A 21,405-nucleotide genomic window follows, 5' to 3' on the forward strand; every position below is an offset into this window, starting at 1 on the left:
TGGGATTACAGGCACCTGCCACCACTATACCTTGCTAATTTTTGTATTTTTAGTAGAGATGAGGTTTCGCCATGGTGGCCAGGCTGGTCTCAAACTCCTGACCTCAGGTGATCCGCCTGCCTCGGCCTCCCAAAATTCTGGGATTACAGGTGTGAGCCACCGTGCCCGGCCATACTTTTTAAGAGTGATTACTTTTTCTTTTCTGGTGGAGTCAGGGTAACCACTGGGCACACATCCAGAAGACCTGAGTCCTAGGAGCTGCAGCCTTGGTGGTCGCATTGACTTTCCGAGTCTCAGTTTTATCAAAAATAATGGGATGGCCCTGCCAATGTTCTTTGGGAGAGTTAAATGAGACCACATCTGCAGAAGGCCCGGGATCATGCCCAGCACACTTGTTGAGGATGAAACTCTGTAATCTGGCTTGAAGTAGAAGTTTCCATTAGGCTGTGTGTTGAAAACAGGCCTAAGGTTCCTATTTTCACTGCCATTCCCTGCAATGCTGAGCCATACCTGGACTTGTGTTTACTTAATATACTGTGTATATTTTTCTCCCTCCTCTTGCCTTCCCTCCTCCTTTCCCAATAAATCCTATTTGACGGATTCAGGCCAAGGGCAGTTGTTCTCAACAGAGATATTGTTTCCTCTTCCGGCTTGCATGTTTCAAAGTCCTTGGCAGAGCCAGGTGGTCTCAGCCAAGCCAGGGAGCAGCACCGATGCACAGCCCGTGCATCCTGAATTCATAAGCAGCGCAGAAACCCTGAGCCCAGAGGGACTGCCAAGAGGGTGCAGGGGGAAAACCTTTCCAAACCTGTCATGTTAACGGGGCTGCAGGAGGGCGGGGTAAGAGTGGAGATGGGAAGGGATGGGGGAGAGAAAACACATAATTAGGAAATGTGGGCTCTGGTCATTTTCCTCTCCATCCTGATTTGTTTCATGCCCCCTGAGCAAGACGCCAAGCCGGCACACATGTTTTCAGAAATGAATAAGACACTTCAACGCTTCAGAATGAAAATGACACTCTGGAAGTGTACACTTGGTGCCTGAGCCTGCCTATGTCCGCACTCACACAGATGCCCTCTAAAAGAGGCGTCTTCTTCGGGCACAGCTCGCCTCGCCCACAACGTCTGGGAAGGCAGCAGACGGCTAAAAGGAGCAATGCTGGGGCTGTGCCTGAATAAGGAGGTTCTCCTCAAGGCATTCTTTCTCGTTCATTCTAGTCTGTCAAGGAGGTTCCACTCAAAATGAATAGTTGCTAAGCCCATTCAAAACAGCTGTCCATATTCCTTAGTTAGCACGAGAGAACCCGAAACACAATATTTACATGCTGTTATTCTTTTTCGTTTCTCTTTCTTCTTCTTCTTTTTTTAAGCACAACAGAGTTGGCCTTTAATGCTTGCCTTTCCTTACGTGCCCAGGTTTTTAATTGGACCACTCCCTGTGCTTTGGAGTTTGGGCGGCAGAACCGCGTAAGGAGAAGCCGTCTGGGTGTCTCCCCTCCGCCAGGCAAGGCAGACAACCAGAGCCGAGCAGCACAGAGATCTTTCTGCAGTGGGAGAAACAGATGAGAAAACTCTACGAACACACAGACACCTCTGGAGGAGGAGGACAAGCAGTAGAAGGTTACACATCTGGGTTGTGAAGGGAATTGTGACTAATCTTGAAAGTTACAATGTACAGAAAGTTCCAGAAATGTAGACCTTTTGTTCCTTCACATTAAATGTAACTTGGGCCCGGTCACGGTGGCTCATGCCTATAATCCTAGTACTTTGAGAGGCCAAGGCGGGTGGATCGCTTGAGCTCAGGGGTTCAAGACCAGCCTGGCTGACACAGTGTGATCTTGTCTCTACGAAAAATAAAACAAAATCAGCCAGACATAATGACGTACGTCTGTATTTCCAACTACTTGGGCAGTTGAGGTGAGAGGATTGCTTAAGCACAGCAGGTCAAGGCTGCAGTGAGCCATGATTATGCTGCTGTACTTCAGCCTGGGCGATAGAGGTAGACCCTGTCTCAAATATATATATATGTATATTATATATAATACATATGTATATTATCCAGTTTCAGATATTCTGTTATAAGCAACAGAAAACAGACTAATGCAGGCACCATAACTGCACTCATTTCATTATATACATATATATATACACACATTATATACATACACACATATATACACACATTTTATATATATACATATATATATTTCATTTCATATATATACATATATACGTGTGTGTGTGTGTGTGTGTGTGTGTGTGTGTGTATTTATTTGAGACAGGGTCTAGCTCTATCGCCCAGGCTGATATAAGTTGCAAATCAGTGATTTTGGTGCCTGCTTCCTTATTCCTCCAGCGCAGGTACAAACTCATGTAGATGGAATCTCCTGTCCTAACAATAATAATACATTTGATTTAATAATAGCACTTTGGCCAGGCATGGTGGCACATGCCTGTAGTTCTAGCTACTTGGGAGCCTGAGGCAGGAGAATCACTTGGGCCCAGAAGGTCAAGGATGCTGTGAGCTATGATGTTGCCACTGCACTCTAGCCTGTGTGGCAGAGCAAGACCCTGATAATAATAATAATAATAATAATAATAATAATAATAATAATAATAGCACTTACCATTGTTGATCATTTATTATTGCCAGGCATTAATTCAGGCACCTTAAACTGTACCTGTCCAATTGTATGAAATGGGTACAGTTATGGTGCCTGCATTAGTCTGTTTTCTGTTGCTTATAACAGAATATCTGAAACTGGATAATTTATAAAGAAAAGGCACTTACTGCTTACAGTTATGGAGGCTGCTCACAATTATGAAGTCCCAGGTTGAGAGCATGCATCTGGTGTGGACATTCTTGCTGGTGGGGACTCTCTGCAGAGTCTTGAGGTGGCATCACACGGCGAGGGGGCTGAGTGTGCTCATGTGCTCAGGTCTCTCTTCCTCTTCTTATAAAGACATCAGCTCCCTTTCTGTGATAACCCATTAACCCATTAACCCACTAATTCATAAACAGATTATTCTATTCATGCTGGCAGAGCTGTCATGATCCAATCACCTCTTAAAGGTGATTTTAATACTGCCACATTGGGGATTAAGTTTCCAACATGTGAAATTTGGGGGGCACATTCAAACCATAGCAGCTCCTATATTGTAGATGAGGACACTGGGATCTGGATTTCTGCAGTAATCTCCCGAGGCCCATGTGATTCCCAGAGGCTGGCTGGGCTGTAATAGAAGCCAAACTTGAAACTTGTGATCATGACACTGTATTGCCCACCTTGTGCAAATGGAAGCAATTCATTTAGGTTCCCCGAGCCTCTGTTAAGCAAGAGGATTTTATTACATGTTTTCAAAGCTCCTTCCAGACCTTTTTTTAATCAAAATGAATCCTAGCTTCATCTTCCACTCACTGCTTCTCAAGACTAAATACAGAAATGCAACATCTCCAGTTACTTGCTCCTGGTGGCAAAGTGAAGGTAGGTATTTATGGGTGGGTGATGTTAATATGGCCTCTTCACATCCCTTCCAGAGGCTCTGTGAGAGGAACCCTTATACTGTAAACAAAATATTTGAGTCCATCGAGTCTCTTACAAAAGACCTTGTTGGAGATCTCTGTAGATTAGCAGTGTGACCTAACAGATTGTAGGAGTAACACTAAAATACTTAAAAAATGAGTCAGACATGGATGATGGATGAGCCTTGAGGACATTATGCTAAATGAAATAAGCAGACACAAAAGAAGAACAAATACTGTATGATTCAACACATGTGAGCTACCTAGAACAGTCAAATTGAGACATAGAGAACAGTGGTGGTGGCCAGGGGCTGCAGGGAGGAGGAAATGAAAAGTTTAATGGGTACAGAGTTTCTGTTTGGGAAGATGAGAGACTTCTGAACGTGGATGGCGGTGAGGGTTGCACAGCAATGTGAGTGTACTTTATGCCAATGAAATGTGTGCTTCAAAATGGTTAAACTGAAAAATTTTATGTATATACATTTATATATATATATTTTTTTTTTTTTTTTTTTTTTTTTGAGACGGAGTCTCACTGTTGCGCAGGCCGGAGTACAGTGGAGCAATCTCAGCTCACTGCAACCTCTGCCTCCCGGGTTCAGGAGATTCTCCTGCCTCAGCCTCCCGAGTAGCTGGGATTACAGGTGGGCACCACCACGCCCAACTAATTTTTGAATATTTAGTAGAGACAGGGTTTCCCCATGGTGGTAAGGCTGGTCTCGAACTCCTGACCTCATGATCCGCCCACCTCAGTCTCCCCAAGTGCTAGGAATACAGGCATGAGCCACCGCACCCAGCCTGTTATGTATATTTTACTACAGTAAACAAAAACATGAATAAATGAAGAAGCTTCTTACTGTTTATTTATAGTTGTATAATACGTGTTTGGTTAAAAATAAAGTATAAAAAATTAAAATAACATAATTTTCACCAACCAGAAATAACTATAATTATTTCTGTCTAATCTTTTTCCTTTGCATCCATCCATCCATCTAATATATAGAGAGAAACTCAAATATTTGAATTCATATTGTATAGTTATTTATTCATTTTATTATCTTCATTTAACATTGCAAGCATTTTCCAAGCAATTAAAATGTATTTATAAACATAATTGTAATGGCTACATACTAGTTTAGGCATGCTTTAATTTATTTAGCCCTCTCTTGTTTTTGTTTTCCTAATTTTTTTACTTTGTAAATAGCATTAAAGCACTCATACTAGTGCATTCATTGCTGCCTGCCTCTGATTACTTCCATAGGGCTGGCTCCTAGAAGCAGAGTTACTGAGTCAGAGGACAGGTTATGTATTCGAGGAAACTTTTTACTTTTTCTCTGTGTGTATGTGCATGCATGTGTGCGTGTCTGTGTGTGTGTGTGCGTGTGTGCATGTGCGTCTGTGTGCGTGTGCGTGTGTGCGCATGTGCATGCATGCGCACGTGTGTGTGCGTGCGTGCGCACGTGTGTGTGCGCGCGCGTATTTGGATGACTTTCAGAAGCCCTTCATCCATCCTTTGTTCCTTCGGGATCTGTCTGAAGCACCTGCAATCTCCCACCTCTTTTGGTTGTTGTTGGGTACATAAAACCTCTGATGCCTGTCCTTAAAAGCTGACTTTAGGGAAGACATGTTTGAACCCTGACCATCCCTAAGGCAAAACCTAGAGATCTGAGCACAGGAAGTCTGTTGAGCAAAAGTGAATTAGACAGTAATGTTGACACAGACATGTCTGTGTCAGCATGGCTTGCATCACACAGGAGGATGTGAAGCAAAGGCAGGAACCAGCTCCCAGTTTGGGGCATGGAGAAAGCTTCCCCAGCTCAGCTGGTGTTTGGGGCCAAGGCTTCAGCTCAGCCCTGACTGCTCCCTAAAGCACTCCACACACTGTGAGGAGCAGGAAGCCTTGCTAGAGCTTCCTCTTCTGCTGGTAAACAAGTGGTTAAATGTAGCCCAGACAGCATTGACCTTGGCTTCCCCTCATTGCCCACTCACTCCTAAGAATCACCCACAGACTCACATGTAAAGGAAACCTTGAATCTCTGATCCTTAGGCAGCTTTTTGGTTTCAAAAGTCCTTGAGCCTTTTCCCTAGGGTCTGCTGACCTTTTCTTTTTATGTTTGCCCCACATCTCCCCAATACCTCCCTCCATCCAGATCTCAGCTCACTTGCAATTCCAGGAAGCTTTGGTGACCCACCCTCTCAAACCAGATTGAGAATCGGAATGTGCCTTTTTTCCATACTGCTTTTCACAATTTGCAATTATATTAATTTGTGTAATCATTTGATTAATGTATCATTTAATGTTTCCATTCAGCAAATATTTTTTACATGCCCGTGTGTGCCAGGAACTATACTGTTTGCTGGGACGACAGTGATGAACAAAACCAATTTGGTTCCTCTCCATGTGGAGTTGAAAGTCCAGCAAGAAATAAGCAAATAAAAAAGATGATTGCAATTTGTAATAAGTGCTATAAGAGAAGTGAAATGGAAGCAATTACAAAGATTGGAGGAGGGACCTCATTGGGCAGAAGGATGGAGAAGGTCACCCTGAAGTCCTGAGGTGTGGGAGGAGCCTCCCTAGGGAAGAGCCTTGGGGAAGGTGCTGCTCCTGGGATGTCATAGGGACAGCTGGAGGAATTGAAAGTAGCTGCATGGAGGGAGTGCTCAGTGAGAGAGGACAGATGGACAGTGTGCAGTAGGAGAGCGACACGGAACCAGGTCAGCACAGATGAGAGGCAGAGCAGCAGCTGCTGCAGTGGATGCTGTGGAGGTCATGGAAGATGGTACCCATGTTCCAGCAGCAGCCAGATGGCAGTGGATTGGAGAGTGAATGGATGGTGAGGAATTAGAAAGTTTACCTCTATGAAGAGAAGTTAGGGCTGTGCAGGAGAATAAAATCATTGGATGGATGAAGACAGATTAGAAGGGCCAAGGGAGAAACTAAAGTTGGTTTTCCATTTTTTCCTTTCTTTTGGATGGGAGATGGTGGAGCATGTTTATAATCTGTGGAGATGACTCAGGAGAGAGAGAGATTGAAAGAGAGAGAGATTTACAATGCTCAAAGAGGCAATAAACAGAGAGCTAAATCCTTGAGAAGATAAGATGGGATGGCATCCAGAAGAGAGATGAATAGATAAGACTTTTATAGGAGGAGAGCCACCTCATCAATTTTTTAACACTTTATTATGGAAAATTGCAAACCCACAAAGGTAGAGAAAATAGTATACTGAAACCCCGTATACCCATCACCCCAGCTTCACCACAGGGCCAGTTTCATTTCATCTATAATCCCAATCAATTTATCACCCCTCCCCAGATTATTTGGAAACAAATCCAAGACATGATAACTTTCCATTCACAAATACTTCAGTACGTATGCCTTAAAAATGAGGAGTTAAAAACTTATAACAAAACTATTATCATGCTTAATAATTTATTAGCATCATGAAGTATTTACTTAGTGTATACATTTCTCCAATTGTCCCTTACAGGCTTTTATTTTTAACAGCTGGCTTGTTCAAATCAAAACCAAAGCAAGTCACACATACTGAATTTGGCTGATATGCTTTTTAAAGGGGGCTTCTTCCTCCCTTTTTTTCCTCTTAACATTTGTTGAGGAAACCAGGTCTTTTGACTTACAGAACTTCACACTTTCTGGATTTTGCTGGTGACATACCCAAGGTGTCATTTAACACATTCTTCTCTCACTGATAACTCCTCTAAATTGCCAGCTTACATCTAACATCTGAAGATTCAGGTCTGGTGGTGGTAGTTTTTTGTTGGTTTGGTTTGGTCTGGTTTGGGGTTTGGGGTGGGGGGTTGAAGGAGGGAGAGGCAAGAGTGCCTCCCGGGTTTCTCTGTGTTTCCTGTTACATCACATCTGGGCCATGATGTCTGTTTTTCCTGAGTCTGGTGGTGTTAAAGTTGATTGCAGGGTTTGGTGGGGTCAGGCTGCTCCATCCTGCAAGTTCCTCATTAGCTCTTTACCTGTTGTCTTGGCAGTTGTGGATGGCCATTGCTGTAATTCCATCATTCTGTCATGGAGGGAATTGTATTACCCCAAAATTCATATGCTGAAGTCCTATCCTCCTGTCCTAACCTCAGCATACAAACTTATTTGGAAATAAGTTTGTTGCAGATGGAATTAGTTAAGATGAGGTCCTTTTGGAGTAGGATGGGCCGTTTATCCAATATAGCTGGTGCTGTGAAAAGAGGAGATTTGAATGCAGAGACAGATGCATAAGCACACAGGGAGTAGGCGAGTGAAGATTGGAGTTCTGCTGCCACAACCAGGAGAGGGCCTGGCCCAGATCCTTCTTCAGTGCTTTCAGAAGGAGCACGGCCCTGCCAACACCTTGATCTCAGACTTCCAGCCTCCAGAACAGGGAGACAGTACATTGCTGCTGTTTGAACCACTTAGTTTATGGTTCTTTGTTATGGCAGCTGTAGGAAACTAATAGGTATTTCTTCTGCTGCTTTTGATGGGAATATTGAGAGAGAGAGAGATACTTTCCTTCACCAAGTACTTGGTTATCCTGAGGTGCAGTTCACAGAGGAAATACAGAATGCGTGCTTGGTTCTTTCTCTGTATTTACTAGTTTCTAGAATATTGAGTGGCTCCCTAGTATCTTCCAAAGGCGACTAGTGAGGTTTTGTAACGTTAGTATGATTATAGCTATGGATTTCTAGATGTTTACGACATCTCTATCCATTGCTGTTCTTAATCTTTGCAATGATTAACTTTCCCCATCTTTGGCCAGGAACAGTCCCCTCCAGATGACTCCTGAGCCACCTGAAAGAATCTCCAATCATTTGAAGACTTTCTTGCTTTTTGGTTTAATAAAATGTTCCGGGTTCATCTTGTCCCAGGCAGGCAAACTGTCATTTCTGCAAGAGCTTCTAGCTCTTTTTAGTGGAAAATGATGTTTCAAGACCATAATGTGAGTGATAGGCATACTCATTGCTACCAGGCGATTACTGTCTCTAGACCTTTTCAGTGGATTGAGCTAGAAGAACAAACTAAGAGAAAATATATCACGAGTTTTGGCATTATTTCTCTTCTTTTACGCTAAAAACTTCTGTTCTTGGCCAATAACTTTATTATAATGAATTACTTGGTTTATCTTATTGCATGTGTCTGTGTTATAATTTTATCACACATGCAGTTAAAATAGAATCATTTTATATATTTATAAACTCCAAAATAACAACATTATCTGTAATAATAATATTATTACTAGTAATATTTACTAACAATATTATTGCCAACCATAATATTGCTGGAAACAGTTTTGGGTTTCTTTGTGACTCTTGTAATCCTTGGGATATGAATCCTAATAAACATGCATAGTCTAATTACTATGTTTTGGCAGGGCTCGGTGGCTCATGCCTGTAATCCCAGCACTTTAGGAGGCTGAGATGGGTGGATCACCTGAGGTCAGGAGTTCAAGACCAGCCTGGCCAACATGGTGAAACCCCATCTGTACTGAAAATACAAAATTTAGTCAGGCGTGGTGATGCACACCTGTAATCCCAGCTACTCGGGAGGCTGAGGCACGAGAATTGCTTGAACCTGGGAGGCAGAAGTTGCAGTGAGCCAAGATCATGAGATCATGAGATCATGCCGCTGCACTATAGCCGGGGTGACATCAGCGAAACTCCATCTCAAAAAACCAAAATAAAATAAATAAATAATTACTATGTTTTAAAGTCAATTGAAATAATTCCTTTTTGTGTGGTTAAGTCACCATGTTTATATACATTTAAGCTCAGTTGTTTTATTCTGAGTTCAATATTTTGGGGAAACTCAGTTTGCTTATTAAATTTTGTTCTAATAAAACATTTCGTTGGCTGCAAAGTCAAATTTGTAAAATAAGGTCTACTGTCTTACCCATCACTTGGTTTCCTCCTTCCTACACAGGTAAGCACATTTGTTAGTTTTTGGTACATCCTTCCATTAAAATTTTAAAATAGTACATATATATATACACACACACACTATTCGCGCCTATTCTAAGATATAAGGTAGCATACTATATACACTATTCTCAACTTTTCCAATTTCTCCCTACTAGAATGTGCAGCATTCCTCATTCCTTTTTTATAATGCTTGATTCTCCATTGTGTGGATTTGCCTTCTTCAACTAATTCCCCTAGTGATGGACATTTGGTTTGTTTTTCCGATCTTTGGCTACTACAAGAAGTACTGTACTAAATAGCTTTGCATGCATATTGTATTTTCACCAGCCTATCTTAGGGTTATTTTCTTAGGAGTGGGATTGCTAGGTGAAAGGGTTAAATATATATATAACTTTGCTCCATATTGCCAAATTTTCCTCCATAGGAGCTGCACTCCTTTGCTTTCCCATCAGCAACGTACGAGCCTGCCTGTTGTCCTATAGTCTACCAACAGAATATGCCATCAAACTTCTGGATATTTGACAATGCAGTAGATGCAATGGTAGTTTTATTTCATTATAATTTGCATTTTCCTTATTCGTCTCACTACTTTTAAAGGAAGAAAGGAGGGAGAAGGTGGGTGAGAGTGTGAATACGTTTGTAGATTTGGTGTTACGTAAATGTTTGCCCCTCTGGACTGTAAGCTCCATGAGGGTAGGACAACATCTGTTCTGCTCACTCTTGCTGTTCATTCTGTTCCAGTTCTATGCCTAGTGCTTGGCATGGAGGATACACTCACTAGTATACAACCAATGTGAATGAATGAGTGAGTGAATGAATGGGTGAATGAAAGACAGAAACTCTCTTTTCTCTCTGCTTCATGACTGTACTGGGGTCTATTCGACATTTTACCTTCACCCCTTCCTGTACCTTTCTCCAGATTTAGAACCTAGAATTAGGGGAACCAATTAAAAGTCTAAATTGTGAATTAAAAACAAAAAGTCACAGAAAGGGCTTGCCTAATGCCATGTCCATGCGATTAATGAGTTGTGCCTGTCTGAGTAAGAGGTGGAGTGGGGTGCAGTGTGAAAGTGCTCCTACTTGTTGAGAGATGCTGGGAAGACTAGCTCAGCCAGGTGAGCATTGCATGGGCATGAGGAATTGCTTGGTTAAGGGACAGAACAATCTCTGTGGAATTTCCTCCTCTTCTATCCCATCCAGAGGCTCTGAGCTCTCAGAACTGTCAGTACCTTCAGGGCTTATAAAGACTGTGGTTCCATGTGGCACTCCTGACTCTCTTACAGCCTGTGCATGGCCATCTGGAGGAAGCGGGAGCTCCCCATCACCCAGGGAACTCTTTGTTATTTGGGGATAGACTATGTCTAAAGCCTCCTTGACACACAGCCCTTTGGGTGAAATAACTTTTTTGCTGTCTGTATTTTATCTTTTCTGTTTGAAAAAATTTCAGTTGCCTTTGGCTCTTCAATGTTAGGACCTCTCTTATGGAAGCTTATGCCTAAATTTCCACCCCTTCTCCTCCTGCTAGAAATCACCCATTTTTCAGGGCTCAGGTTCAAAGTTATATTCCTTGATTATATCAATGTTAAGGATTTCCATTTAATGAAGAAATCATGGACACAATTAAAAGGCAAGTGACAACTCAGGAGAATATATTTAAAATGTCAACATCTGATGTGGTTCAAATATCTAAAATATACAAGAAACTTTTGCAAATCAATCACAGGGACCTCAACAGATAAATGGACAAAGAGTATGAATAGGCAAGTCATTAAACAGGAAATCCAAAATAAAAAGCAAATGAATAAATGCTCAAGCTCATTTGATTAGAGACATAAAATAAAAACTATAATGAATTATGACTTTACACCCATCAGATTAGCAAAAATTAGAAAGTTGAAGATGGCAGGCATGTCATGGCAGGGCTGTAGGGAAGACAAGACTCTTGTACGATGCTGCTGAGAGGTAAATGGGGTAGCCCTTCTTCAGAGCAATCCAGCAGTACTTGGTAAAATGCACTTACCCTAGGACTAGGAGATTCCATTCCTGGGAATGCCTCCAGAGAAGTTCTCACACTCATCTCTGAAGGAAGATACATGAGGATGCTTGTTATAGTCTTGTTTATGGGGACTGAGTGTGTCCATTATTATGGGAGTGGATAAGTAACACAAAGTGTGATATGGAGTACTACACAACAGTGAGATGCAGTGAAAGAGAGTGACAGTCAATTTTTGTTATGTATAATAGCTCTGTTCTGTAAAGTCTGTGAACATTGAGTTAGTAAACACTGAACCATTGCTTCCAGGGGAAATACAGAGTTAGGTTCCTGTGAGCCATAGCTCACAACACTTTCATCAACTTATCAATATATAACCTTGCTTATGTGTGCTGCTATTTAAAGGCACAATATTTTATCTATATTGTTGATTCATTAGCACTGAACTCACGGCCAACAGCACTAACTCCCATGCTTGAATAAAGCTTTTTCAACACATGTGTTTTCTTCATTAGGGGCATCACGGCCTACTGCACTTGGAAACACTAGGCAGCACTTAGCACTGTGCTTGGGGGCCATTTCCAACAGCAGAATTATCCCCAAAAAAAGCATAAAAATGTGAAAAGCATAGCACTAAACAGACTGCAAAAAGGACAGTTGTTTACATTATGAGGGCAGAAACAAGAAGGCAGAACACTGTCTCATTCCACCTTAGCTGGGGGCTTGCACATCTGGCAACGCAAATCTTCCAGTGCTCTGGGCATATCCGAAAGTGACTGTGAAAGTGCCTTGACTGTTGATTTTTGGGTCACAGATGCATTTTATTGAGTAGGCAAATTCACAAATACAGAATCATGAATAATGATGATGGACTGCACAGTCACCTGATTAGTTCTGAAAACATAGACTTGAATGAAAAAAAGCAAGAAAGAGAATCATAGCACATTATAAAGAGATACATAACACATTATTTATGTAAAAGTGGCACAAAGCAATCACACACACATGGGTTTTCAAGAACCCATACAAATCAAAGGACACACATAAACCCATTAAAAGTGTTGCCTCCTGGGTGCTGAATGGAGACGAAATGGAATAAAGGAATCAATACATACAAGGAGAGATGTCAGGGTGCCCTGAACCGTGGAGTGTGATGAACGCAGCCTCTACCTTGAAAAGTCTGACCTGAAGCCACCATTGCTGTGGCCCACCCTCCCAGATTCCCCCTTTCTCTGGCCCCTGTTCCCAGTAAGCTCCTCTCTTCCAGCTCTTCGTGGAGGGCCTGAAATTCCCACTTTATTGGAGCACACTTTCTGGCATATTTTATTTATTTGTCTATATTTATTTATACTTCTACCTCACGTCAGAAAGGATTCCAGGTCACTACTGATCAAGGCTGAGTCTATTTGCAGAATGAATAAGGACATGCACAGCTGAATGAACCATGGAAGGGCAATTTCCATACTTATCCCATCACACCCTCATCTCCTTGAGAGGAGCCCCAGTAATAATATTAGTAACAAAAGGATGTGTTCAGCTCAGGGCACAGCCAGCTCTTATGTCCCTCGAACCAGGCTCTGCAGAGCTGATAACCCAAGTTACCATTGCATTTGCTCTTTGGACAGCTACTGATGATTCGTATTCTGTTTGTCATAAACCTAACATGTCTTTTTCACATGAACCACATCTCTATTTTGCATTTACATGGTTGACCTGTTTTTTAACCAGTTGGATATATATACGTTTATATAATTTGCTATAAACCATGGATTTGGAATATCAAATTGGTCTGAGTCTCATTTCTCTTTTCCAATGTATTGGCCATTCCTCCCAGTTCTGTGCCACCTGGAAGTTGGTAAGATTGCTTTCAATTACCTTAAATTGTTGATAAATCCCAGGATATAGAACAAGCCCTGTGGCTGACCACATCTCCCCTCTAAGAACACCTGTCTCTATGAATTCTTGTACACATGTTGTACACATCTCCTCTCATTTAGATTGAATTTTGATTTCTTTTTCTCTATCCTAAAGAGAAGATTCTCCTAAAGCTCATGAGAACTTTGTAAAATACTTTTCTGAAATCCAGACATTCTTTGTCTTATGGCAATCCTTGGATCTATCAGCATGAGTTTGGGTCATGAACCATGGCATTGGAAACATATGTTAGATGCTGGACACCTCAGTACTTTACAGAGGAGGAAATAGAAGATGAGAGTACCTGCATGAGTACCGACAGTGAGCTTTCACAAGAGTCCTCCTGTGAGTACTAGCATGTCCTGGCCGAGTACCCACAGTGAGCACTCACATGAGTCCTCCTGTGAGTACCAGTATGTCCTGGCTGAGTACCCACAGTGAGCACTGCTACAAGTCCTCCTGTGAATACAAGGGTGTCTTGGCCTAGTACGCACTGTGAGCACTCACGCAAGTCCTCCTGTGAGTGCTAATGTGTCCTGGCCGAGTACCCACAGTGAGCACTCACACGAGTCCTCCTGTGAGTACTAGCGTGTCCTGGCCGGGTACCCACAGTGAGCACTCATACAAGTCCTCCTGTGAGTACAAGGGTGTCCTGGCCAGAGAGGTGTCAGTGAAAGTGGCTTGACTCAAACCCTAGACTCCTGACCCCACATACAAGGGACTTTACAAGGTGTCCTGCCACTTCAAGAGAGACGGTACTGACTTGTCGTGACTGCTCCCTGCGTCTGCTCACGATCAGTTAACTAAATCTACTCCAGAAGGGTATTGGGGCTTCAGGTGATTTGAAGAAAATTGAAGCCTAGAGAGCATCTAGGGCTTTAAAATAAGCCAAGCCTTTGGGCTAGACATACGACATTCCAGGATACAAAAGTGACCTGTGTGTGTGACCCTGGATACTGTGTGCAGGTTTTTTTGAATAGTCGGCGAACAAATTCTGGAGAAGATTAGAGTTGAGTGGACTCTTTGAGGAATGAAAAAGATTTTGATAGGAAGAAAGTCCCTTAAAATGGGGGAAGTTGGAGGTGCCGTACAGAGTTGGGAATGCATGCAGAATGTTCTGAACAGGGCTTTTTCCATTGCAAATGGCAAAGGAACAGCACCTGCTCACCTAGCTAGAAAAGCCGGGTTCCATCAGGATGGCTGGACAGGAGGCTCTGAAGACCTGACGCAGATACTTCTTCCCATCCCGCAGCTCTGCCTCGTGTGTCAACTCCTTTCTCAGGATGGCTCCCCCAAACATGGGTAACCGCAGCTATCACAATTCTAGCAGGGAAAGAGTGTCCTGTTTGCTAACAACTCCAAAAATGTCCCAGGAAAGGCTCTCATTTTCCTTTCTGAATAAAGTTGCCAGATTTTGCAAATAAAAATAAAGGATGTCCATCAAATTTGAATTTCAGATAAACAATGAATAATTTCTTGGCATAGTTCTGCCCCATGCAATATTTGGAACATATATAAGAAATTCCTTATTTACCTAAAATCCAAATTTAAATTTGAATTCAATTAAATAGACATCATGTATTTTATCTGGCAACCCTATCCCTATACCAGTTCATTGGAGCCAGGCAGATGAGGTGGGTAATGGGTCCAGCCTGGGTAACGTGTCCATACCCTGGATCCCAGGGGTGAGGTCAGCCCCACCCCAGCCTCCTGGAATGGGCATGGGAGTGGGTGGGTAACCAATCAGAAGCTTTACCAGAGAACAGCTGGATGTTGGGGAGACGAAACAATAGACGCTCACTATAGCTGACTCCATGGACAGCAAGGAGACCAAGATAAAAGTGAAAATGGTACTCATGTCTTGCATACCCCCAATAACGTTGGGATTTCTCCATCTGCCTTTTCTGGTTCCCCTGTCCCATGCCTTGTAGTCTATAAGCTTCTAGAGGAAAGGTTTATGTGTTTCTTGCTCATCACTGCAATCCTATTGCTGGGCATAGAGAATCTCAATTAAAAATTGTCATATAGCCAAATGAGTGAAGCATTACATGTCCTTTATAACACTTCCTCCTTGGGTAGACTTGATTATTCCTACTAGATGAGATTTTTCCAGACACTGTCAAAATGTTTTTACATGAACAGTGGTGATTCTGTGATAACAACAGCAAGGCTAACGTGTTGTTCTGCCATGGAGCTGTACACCTCTGGCTGTCTCTTAAGTTCTTTGAAGTTCGTAAGTTCTGCCTGATAATATCTCAGCAAGAAAGATGGTATTGTTCTCCTGTTTTATATATAAGGAAGCTGAATCTACCGAGGCTGGATCATTTCATCAAGACCACAAATATAGTGAATAGAATCTGGCAGGGTTTGGAACCCCCATTTTGGGCTGCTTCCCCATCTTCCTGAGAGCTCTGAGTTTTAGGAATCCTAATATTTGCTCTCTGTGGGCAGCATTTTAGCTGAGAGAAAACCGACCAATTCCTGTGGGCAGTGTCAGCGCATGCACTTTTTTGTTTCTGGCAAAAGACATAGCTGGGTATTCTATGGAGAGATAGAAATATTTCCTGAAGGCAGATTTGCAGTATGAAGGAAGGGGAGCTGGAGGAGAAGGAGCAAACTTGGGGTTCAGCCTCATACCTATCTGTCATCTCAGGTTTGGTTTCCTCTGAGACAGATGGGATGGTGCCTGCTTCGCCTGCTGACAGCAGAGAGCTTGTACATGCCAGGAGCCTTCCAGAGTGCCTCCCCTGAAGTGCCAAGGGGCCATGTCAAAGGGGCAGCTGTCATACCACTGTTATCACAGGGTTGCAATAATTTTCTGAAAAATGAGAATAAAATGTCACAAGAAAGATTTCTTATTCTAATTGACCCTGAAGCTTCATCTGCATCTCAAAGCCCTTTTTGTCCCAGTAATGGAAGCCCAAAGTAAAACAGGGTACCTAGTGGAGCTGGGATTTAAAGCCAGGTGCCTGAGTCCAAAGCCCTGTGCTCTTTCTGCACTACCAGACCTGCTTCTCAAGGGGCAACGAGGAGGGAATGAGATTGTGGTGTTAACATGGGGCATGTCCCCTCGGGCACCATACAAACATGTGGAATCACTTTGAAGATTCATCCCAAACCTTTTGGCCAAGGCAATTTTCTCAGGACAGCTGATCTTATTGATCTCAATTTTCCTGAGGGAGGACAAGCCTGCATGTTCTGTGGCCTTTGGAAAGTATCCCACACTGTCCAGTCGTCATGACAGGAGTGTGCACAGTGAGCACCAGGGTGGCAGAGAACTGGGCTGGTATCTAAATCAGATAATGTTGACAGAAGAAAGCATTGACAGCGTGATTCAGAGTGTGTGCACCACAGCTGACACCTCTTGTTTCCCCCCATCCCACCTCTTTGGGGATGATGAAGGTCTTAGGGGAAAATTGCATAGGTTTTTAGTTCCCAGTGCTCATCAGTTTTCTTTGCTTCTGGTCCCTTGTGGCCTCTCCTCTGTGCCTGCTCTTGCTCCTGTTCCACATCCCGGCCACCCACACTCTAGTGCTCCTACCACTGCCTACCACAGGGGTGCTCCCTGCTGGTTCCCTAACTGATCCCAGCCCTTTTGGCCATGGCTTAGAAATTCCAAAGGCTCTTTGCACCTATTTTACATCCAAGCAGTTCAAACATGTAAGCAATATTCACGTATTTCCCTCCAAGCCACTTAGTGACAGAGCAGCGGAGATGCTCAGGGTGCCATCTTCCACCATGCGAGACATGGGCTGTCCTAGGGTGGCTGAGAAGGGCCGAGTGATGGTTCATTGTATGTGTCAACTTGACCAGGCTTAGGGATGCCCAGGTAGCTGGTGAAATGTCTGTGGGGTGCCGCTGGAGCAGATGAGCATGGGAATTGGTGGGCTGCATAAACATCTGCCCTCACTAATGTTGGCATGCACCAGCCTATCCATTGAGGGCTTGGATAGAGCAGAAAGGCAGAGGAAGGGTGAAGTCCTTCCTCTTCTTGAGCTGAGACAACCATCTTCTTCCACCCTCGACATCAGAGTGCCCGGTTTTTGGGTTTTTAGACTCCAGGACTTACACAGCTTCCTTCTCCGGTTCTTGGGCCTTTGGCCTCAGACTGGGAGTCACACCATTGGCTCCTGGTTCTCAGGCCTTTGGATTCAGACTGAATTACATCACCAGCTGTCCCAACTCTCCAGCTGGCAGACAGCAGATCATAGGACTTCTTGGCCTTCATAATTGTGTGAGCCAGTTCCCGATAAGTGTCCTTTTATACACAGACACACACTTGACCCTTGAACAGCATGAGTGTGAACTTATACTAACATTGTTTTGTGAGTCCATTCATACTCGCATTTTTTTCAATAAAAGTTACACCAAGTGTGTCTGCCTCTCCTGCCCCTCCCCCATCTCCTTTGCCTCTTCTGCCTCTGCCACCCCTAAGACAGTAAGACCAACCCCGCCTCCTCCTTAGCCTACTCAATGTGAAGACGACGAGGATGAAGACCTTTATGATGATCCACTTCCACTTAATGAATAGTAGATATATTTTCTCTTGTTTAGGATTTTCTTAATAACATTTTCTTTTCTCTGGCTTACTTTAGTGTAAGAATACAGTGTATAAAATGTATAACATAAGAAGTATGTGTCAATTGACTGCTTATGTTATTGGTTAGGCTTATGGTCAACAGAAGGCCATTAGTAGTTAAGTTCTGGTGGAGTCAAAAGTTATATGTGGATTTGTGACTGCAAGGAAGCTCAGCATCCCTAATACCCATGCTGTTCAAGAGTCAACAGTATGTTGGTTCTCTTTGCCAGCAGAATCCTGACTATAAAGACTGCATTAGTTTGCTAGGGCTGGCATAACAAGATCCCACAGAAATGTGTGGCTTAAATGACAGAAACTTATTTTCTCACAATCCTGGAGGCTGGAAGCCCAGTACAAGGGATCTTCAGGGTTGGTTTCCCGTGAGACTTCTCCCCTGTTTTGTAGATGACCTCCGCCTCCAAGTGTTGGCTCCGCACCTGTGCCCTAATCTCCTCTTCTTACAAGGACACCAGGCATACTGGATTAGGGCTCACCCTCATGACCTCATTTGAGCTTCATGTCCTCTTTAAAGACCCTTTTCCAAATACAGCACATCCTTAGGTACGAGGGGTTAGACTTCAGCATACAAATCTTGTGGGGACACAATTCAGCCCGTAACAATGGCATAAGCTACCCCCAAAACCATTTCCATCAGGTGCCCCAACAACCAACCCCCAAAACGCAAATGCCAAGTAGAAACTGTGTGTTTCCTGCACACTCAGAACCCCTCCCCCTGCAGCCCCTCCAAGGACTCGTGTCCTACCCCCGCCATGTTTGAAGTTATGGAGCTGCCACAATCATGCAGTTCCCGAAAGACCCCCCTTCCCAATACACTTCCATGGCCTGGATTGAAGGCCAGGTGTAGTTTTATTTGCTCCCCACACTAATCTCAAGCAAGCTTCTTCAACACCCAGTCCTATAAGCCACAGATATGACATCTAAGCCTAGAAGCTAAAGGCATTGCCCTGTGGGATTCTCGTCAACAGCTGTGCACTCCAGCTACTACCGCCTAGAGGTGAGCACTGGGCCAGGGGTAGGGCCATGGGCAGCCTGAATGCTGCACTTAGTTCGGAAGCAGAGACCCAAGCCCAGCTGTGAGCAGACAGGAATGCTGGCTGGCCACCAGGGGTGGGGAATCTCACAGCATCAAGCCTGTGCCTGGCACAGCATGAGCACACAATGAATGTCTACAGAATCAAATACTCCTGATGAATGAAAAGCGGGGCTATCTTCAAAGAAAATTAAGATCAGTCTCATCAAAAATGTCCTGATTTATACAACAAAAAGGGAACCTATTTTGATTTTTAAGGGCTATTTTCTGAAGGCAGCAAAATTGAGAACAATAAACTGGACAGTCCTAATTCCATTCTGGGGCCCTGATCACGCCCTTCGTCTCCTTCTGAGTATCCCGAAGGAGCTGCAGCACGGGATCTCTAAGCTAACGTCCAGCCCCGCGGCACGGCATCACTGATTTTGCAGTGTCTTAGTCCCCTGTAGGCAACTCCTGTGAAAAGTACAAAAGTACAAAAAATTATTTTAAGTGACCAGATGGTTTTGTCTTAGTGCATATTCACAGGGGCATTGTGGCCTGGTGGAAAGAGCTGTGAGCAAACAACCCAGATATCTGGGTTCTAGCACCATCTCTAAGATCCAGTAACTCTAAGTTATTGGGCAAATAACATAACATCTCTTAGTCTCATTTTTTCCCTATAAAATAAAAAGGCTTGGACGATGAGAGCTCTGAGGTTAGCTACTATTGGTGTTGTCCAGAAGAAGGATGCTCTAAAATGATGGGACTCATTGTCCAGGGTCTCTTCCCCTCATCCTTCCTCCACTCCTCCTCCGAGGTCAGGAGTGGGGGCACCCCCCTGACTGAGCATGTGGACTGTGCAAGGCCAGTGCCAAGCATGCAGGGAACAAACTAAGGATCCAAGACTGGTGGCAGGAGAGGCGGTCCCTACCCATCGCCAGGAGCTTTTATTTTTATTTTCTTGATTGTATTTTATTTAGCTCACCTAAAGACCTGGTTCCTGCCATCAAAGAGTAAGAACATGTTATGAAAAAAGATAAAAGTGCTATGGGGCCAAAGGACAGGAGGTATGTCCCCTCCTGGCACCCAACTGCATCCTTCCTGGATAAGCCCCCAGAGTCTGTTTTCCCAGGGGAAGCTGAAATTCTTTCTTTCTTTCTTTCTTTCTTTCTTTCTTTCTTTCTTTCTTTCTTTCTTTTTTTTTTTTTTTAGACAGTGTCTCACTCTGTTGCCCAGATTGGAGTGCAGTGACGCAATCTTGGCTCACTGCAACCTCTACCTCCTGGGTTCAAGCCATCCTCCTGCCTCAGCCTCCCAGGTAGCTGGGATTACTGGTGTGCAACACCAGGCCTGGCTAATGTCTGTATTTTTAGTAGAAATGGGGTTTCACCATGTTGGTCGGGCTGGTCTCGAACTCCTGACCTGAGGTGATCAGCCCGCCTCGGCCTCCCAAAGTGCTGGGATTACATGCATGAGCCTCCTCGCCCAGCAGAAGCTGAAATTCTTATAAACTTGCCACACTCAAATGAGGAAGACAATGCTGCTGAAGATAAAATGCACAAATATTTGTGAACTTGGAATGTGGAATTCAATGAGCAGGTTTGAAATTCTTAAATGACATATGAGGAGAATACACGGGACGAAAAAGATAGGTAGAAGCAAGGGAGCAGAGGTGACAAAAAGAGGCAATGAGGGACACTTTAAGAATCAGGAGCAGACACAGGCAGGTTGAGCCTAGAACAATCAGCCCAGGCATTGTCTCCTACCTCCAGGGGAATTTCCTGAGCAAATGAACTTTCTTTATATCATCACAGCAAGTGACAGGAGAAGGAGGTGGGAGTCCTGGGCTCACTCTGCTGACATCGTTGCAGAAGGAAACCCAGGGCAGGGGGAATTGCCCGGGGTGGGGGAGATGCAGGGGGACTCCATCCTCCCCAGCACCCCCAGCCTTTCCAGGGGGTCCCTTATCTTCTGATCGGATGCAGCATAGTTATTTCTCAAAGCCTTTAAAATACTATTTTTACCAGGAGCACATTCTTTTTTCTTCCAAAAGAACAAAAGGATCACAACCCACATGCTCCTCAGAGTGGCAGCCCTGAGGGAAGGCAGAGCTCAGATGTACAGATCCAGGGAGCTTGGCCCCCGCACGCCCACACCTCCTCATCCCCACACAAACGGAACCAACGTGAATGCCACGGGCTTGGTATTGTCACCCCGCCTGAAATAAACCAGCAAGAATAGTACAGCACGATGAGTGACAGGGCTTCACAGCCAACGTGCTTCTCTGTAGTAGTTTTGGCCATTAGCAATTAGCACTGTAGTTGTAAGAACGGAGGGGGCTTTCTCTCTTTTTGTCTCTTTATGACCTCTCTCTCTCTCTCTCTCTCTCTACACACACACACACACACACACACACACAGCCTGGTAGCCTGATTTATTCCACCCACGAGG

General features: G+C 43.8%; 2 annotated features.

Annotated features, from left to right (window-relative positions):
• Nucleotides 18,435–18,936: an enhancer, noted in NCBI's record as "H3K4me1 hESC enhancer chr13:30591649-30592150 (GRCh37/hg19 assembly coordinates)". NCBI's record gives its function as "activates a minimal SCP1, AML or CMV promoter by ChIP-STARR-seq in primed H9 embryonic stem cells {active_cell/tissue: H9 hESC(primed)}" and the evidence as "EXISTENCE:reporter gene assay evidence [ECO:0000049][PMID:30033119]".
• Nucleotides 18,937–19,436: an enhancer, noted in NCBI's record as "H3K4me1 hESC enhancer chr13:30592151-30592650 (GRCh37/hg19 assembly coordinates)". NCBI's record gives its function as "activates a minimal SCP1, AML or CMV promoter by ChIP-STARR-seq in naive and primed H9 embryonic stem cells {active_cell/tissue: H9 hESC(naive and primed)}" and the evidence as "EXISTENCE:reporter gene assay evidence [ECO:0000049][PMID:30033119]".

The sequence above is a fragment of the Homo sapiens genome, chromosome 13 (assembly GCF_000001405.40).
Source record: "Homo sapiens chromosome 13, GRCh38.p14 Primary Assembly".
NCBI classification, from domain to species: Eukaryota; Metazoa; Chordata; class Mammalia; order Primates; family Hominidae; genus Homo; species Homo sapiens.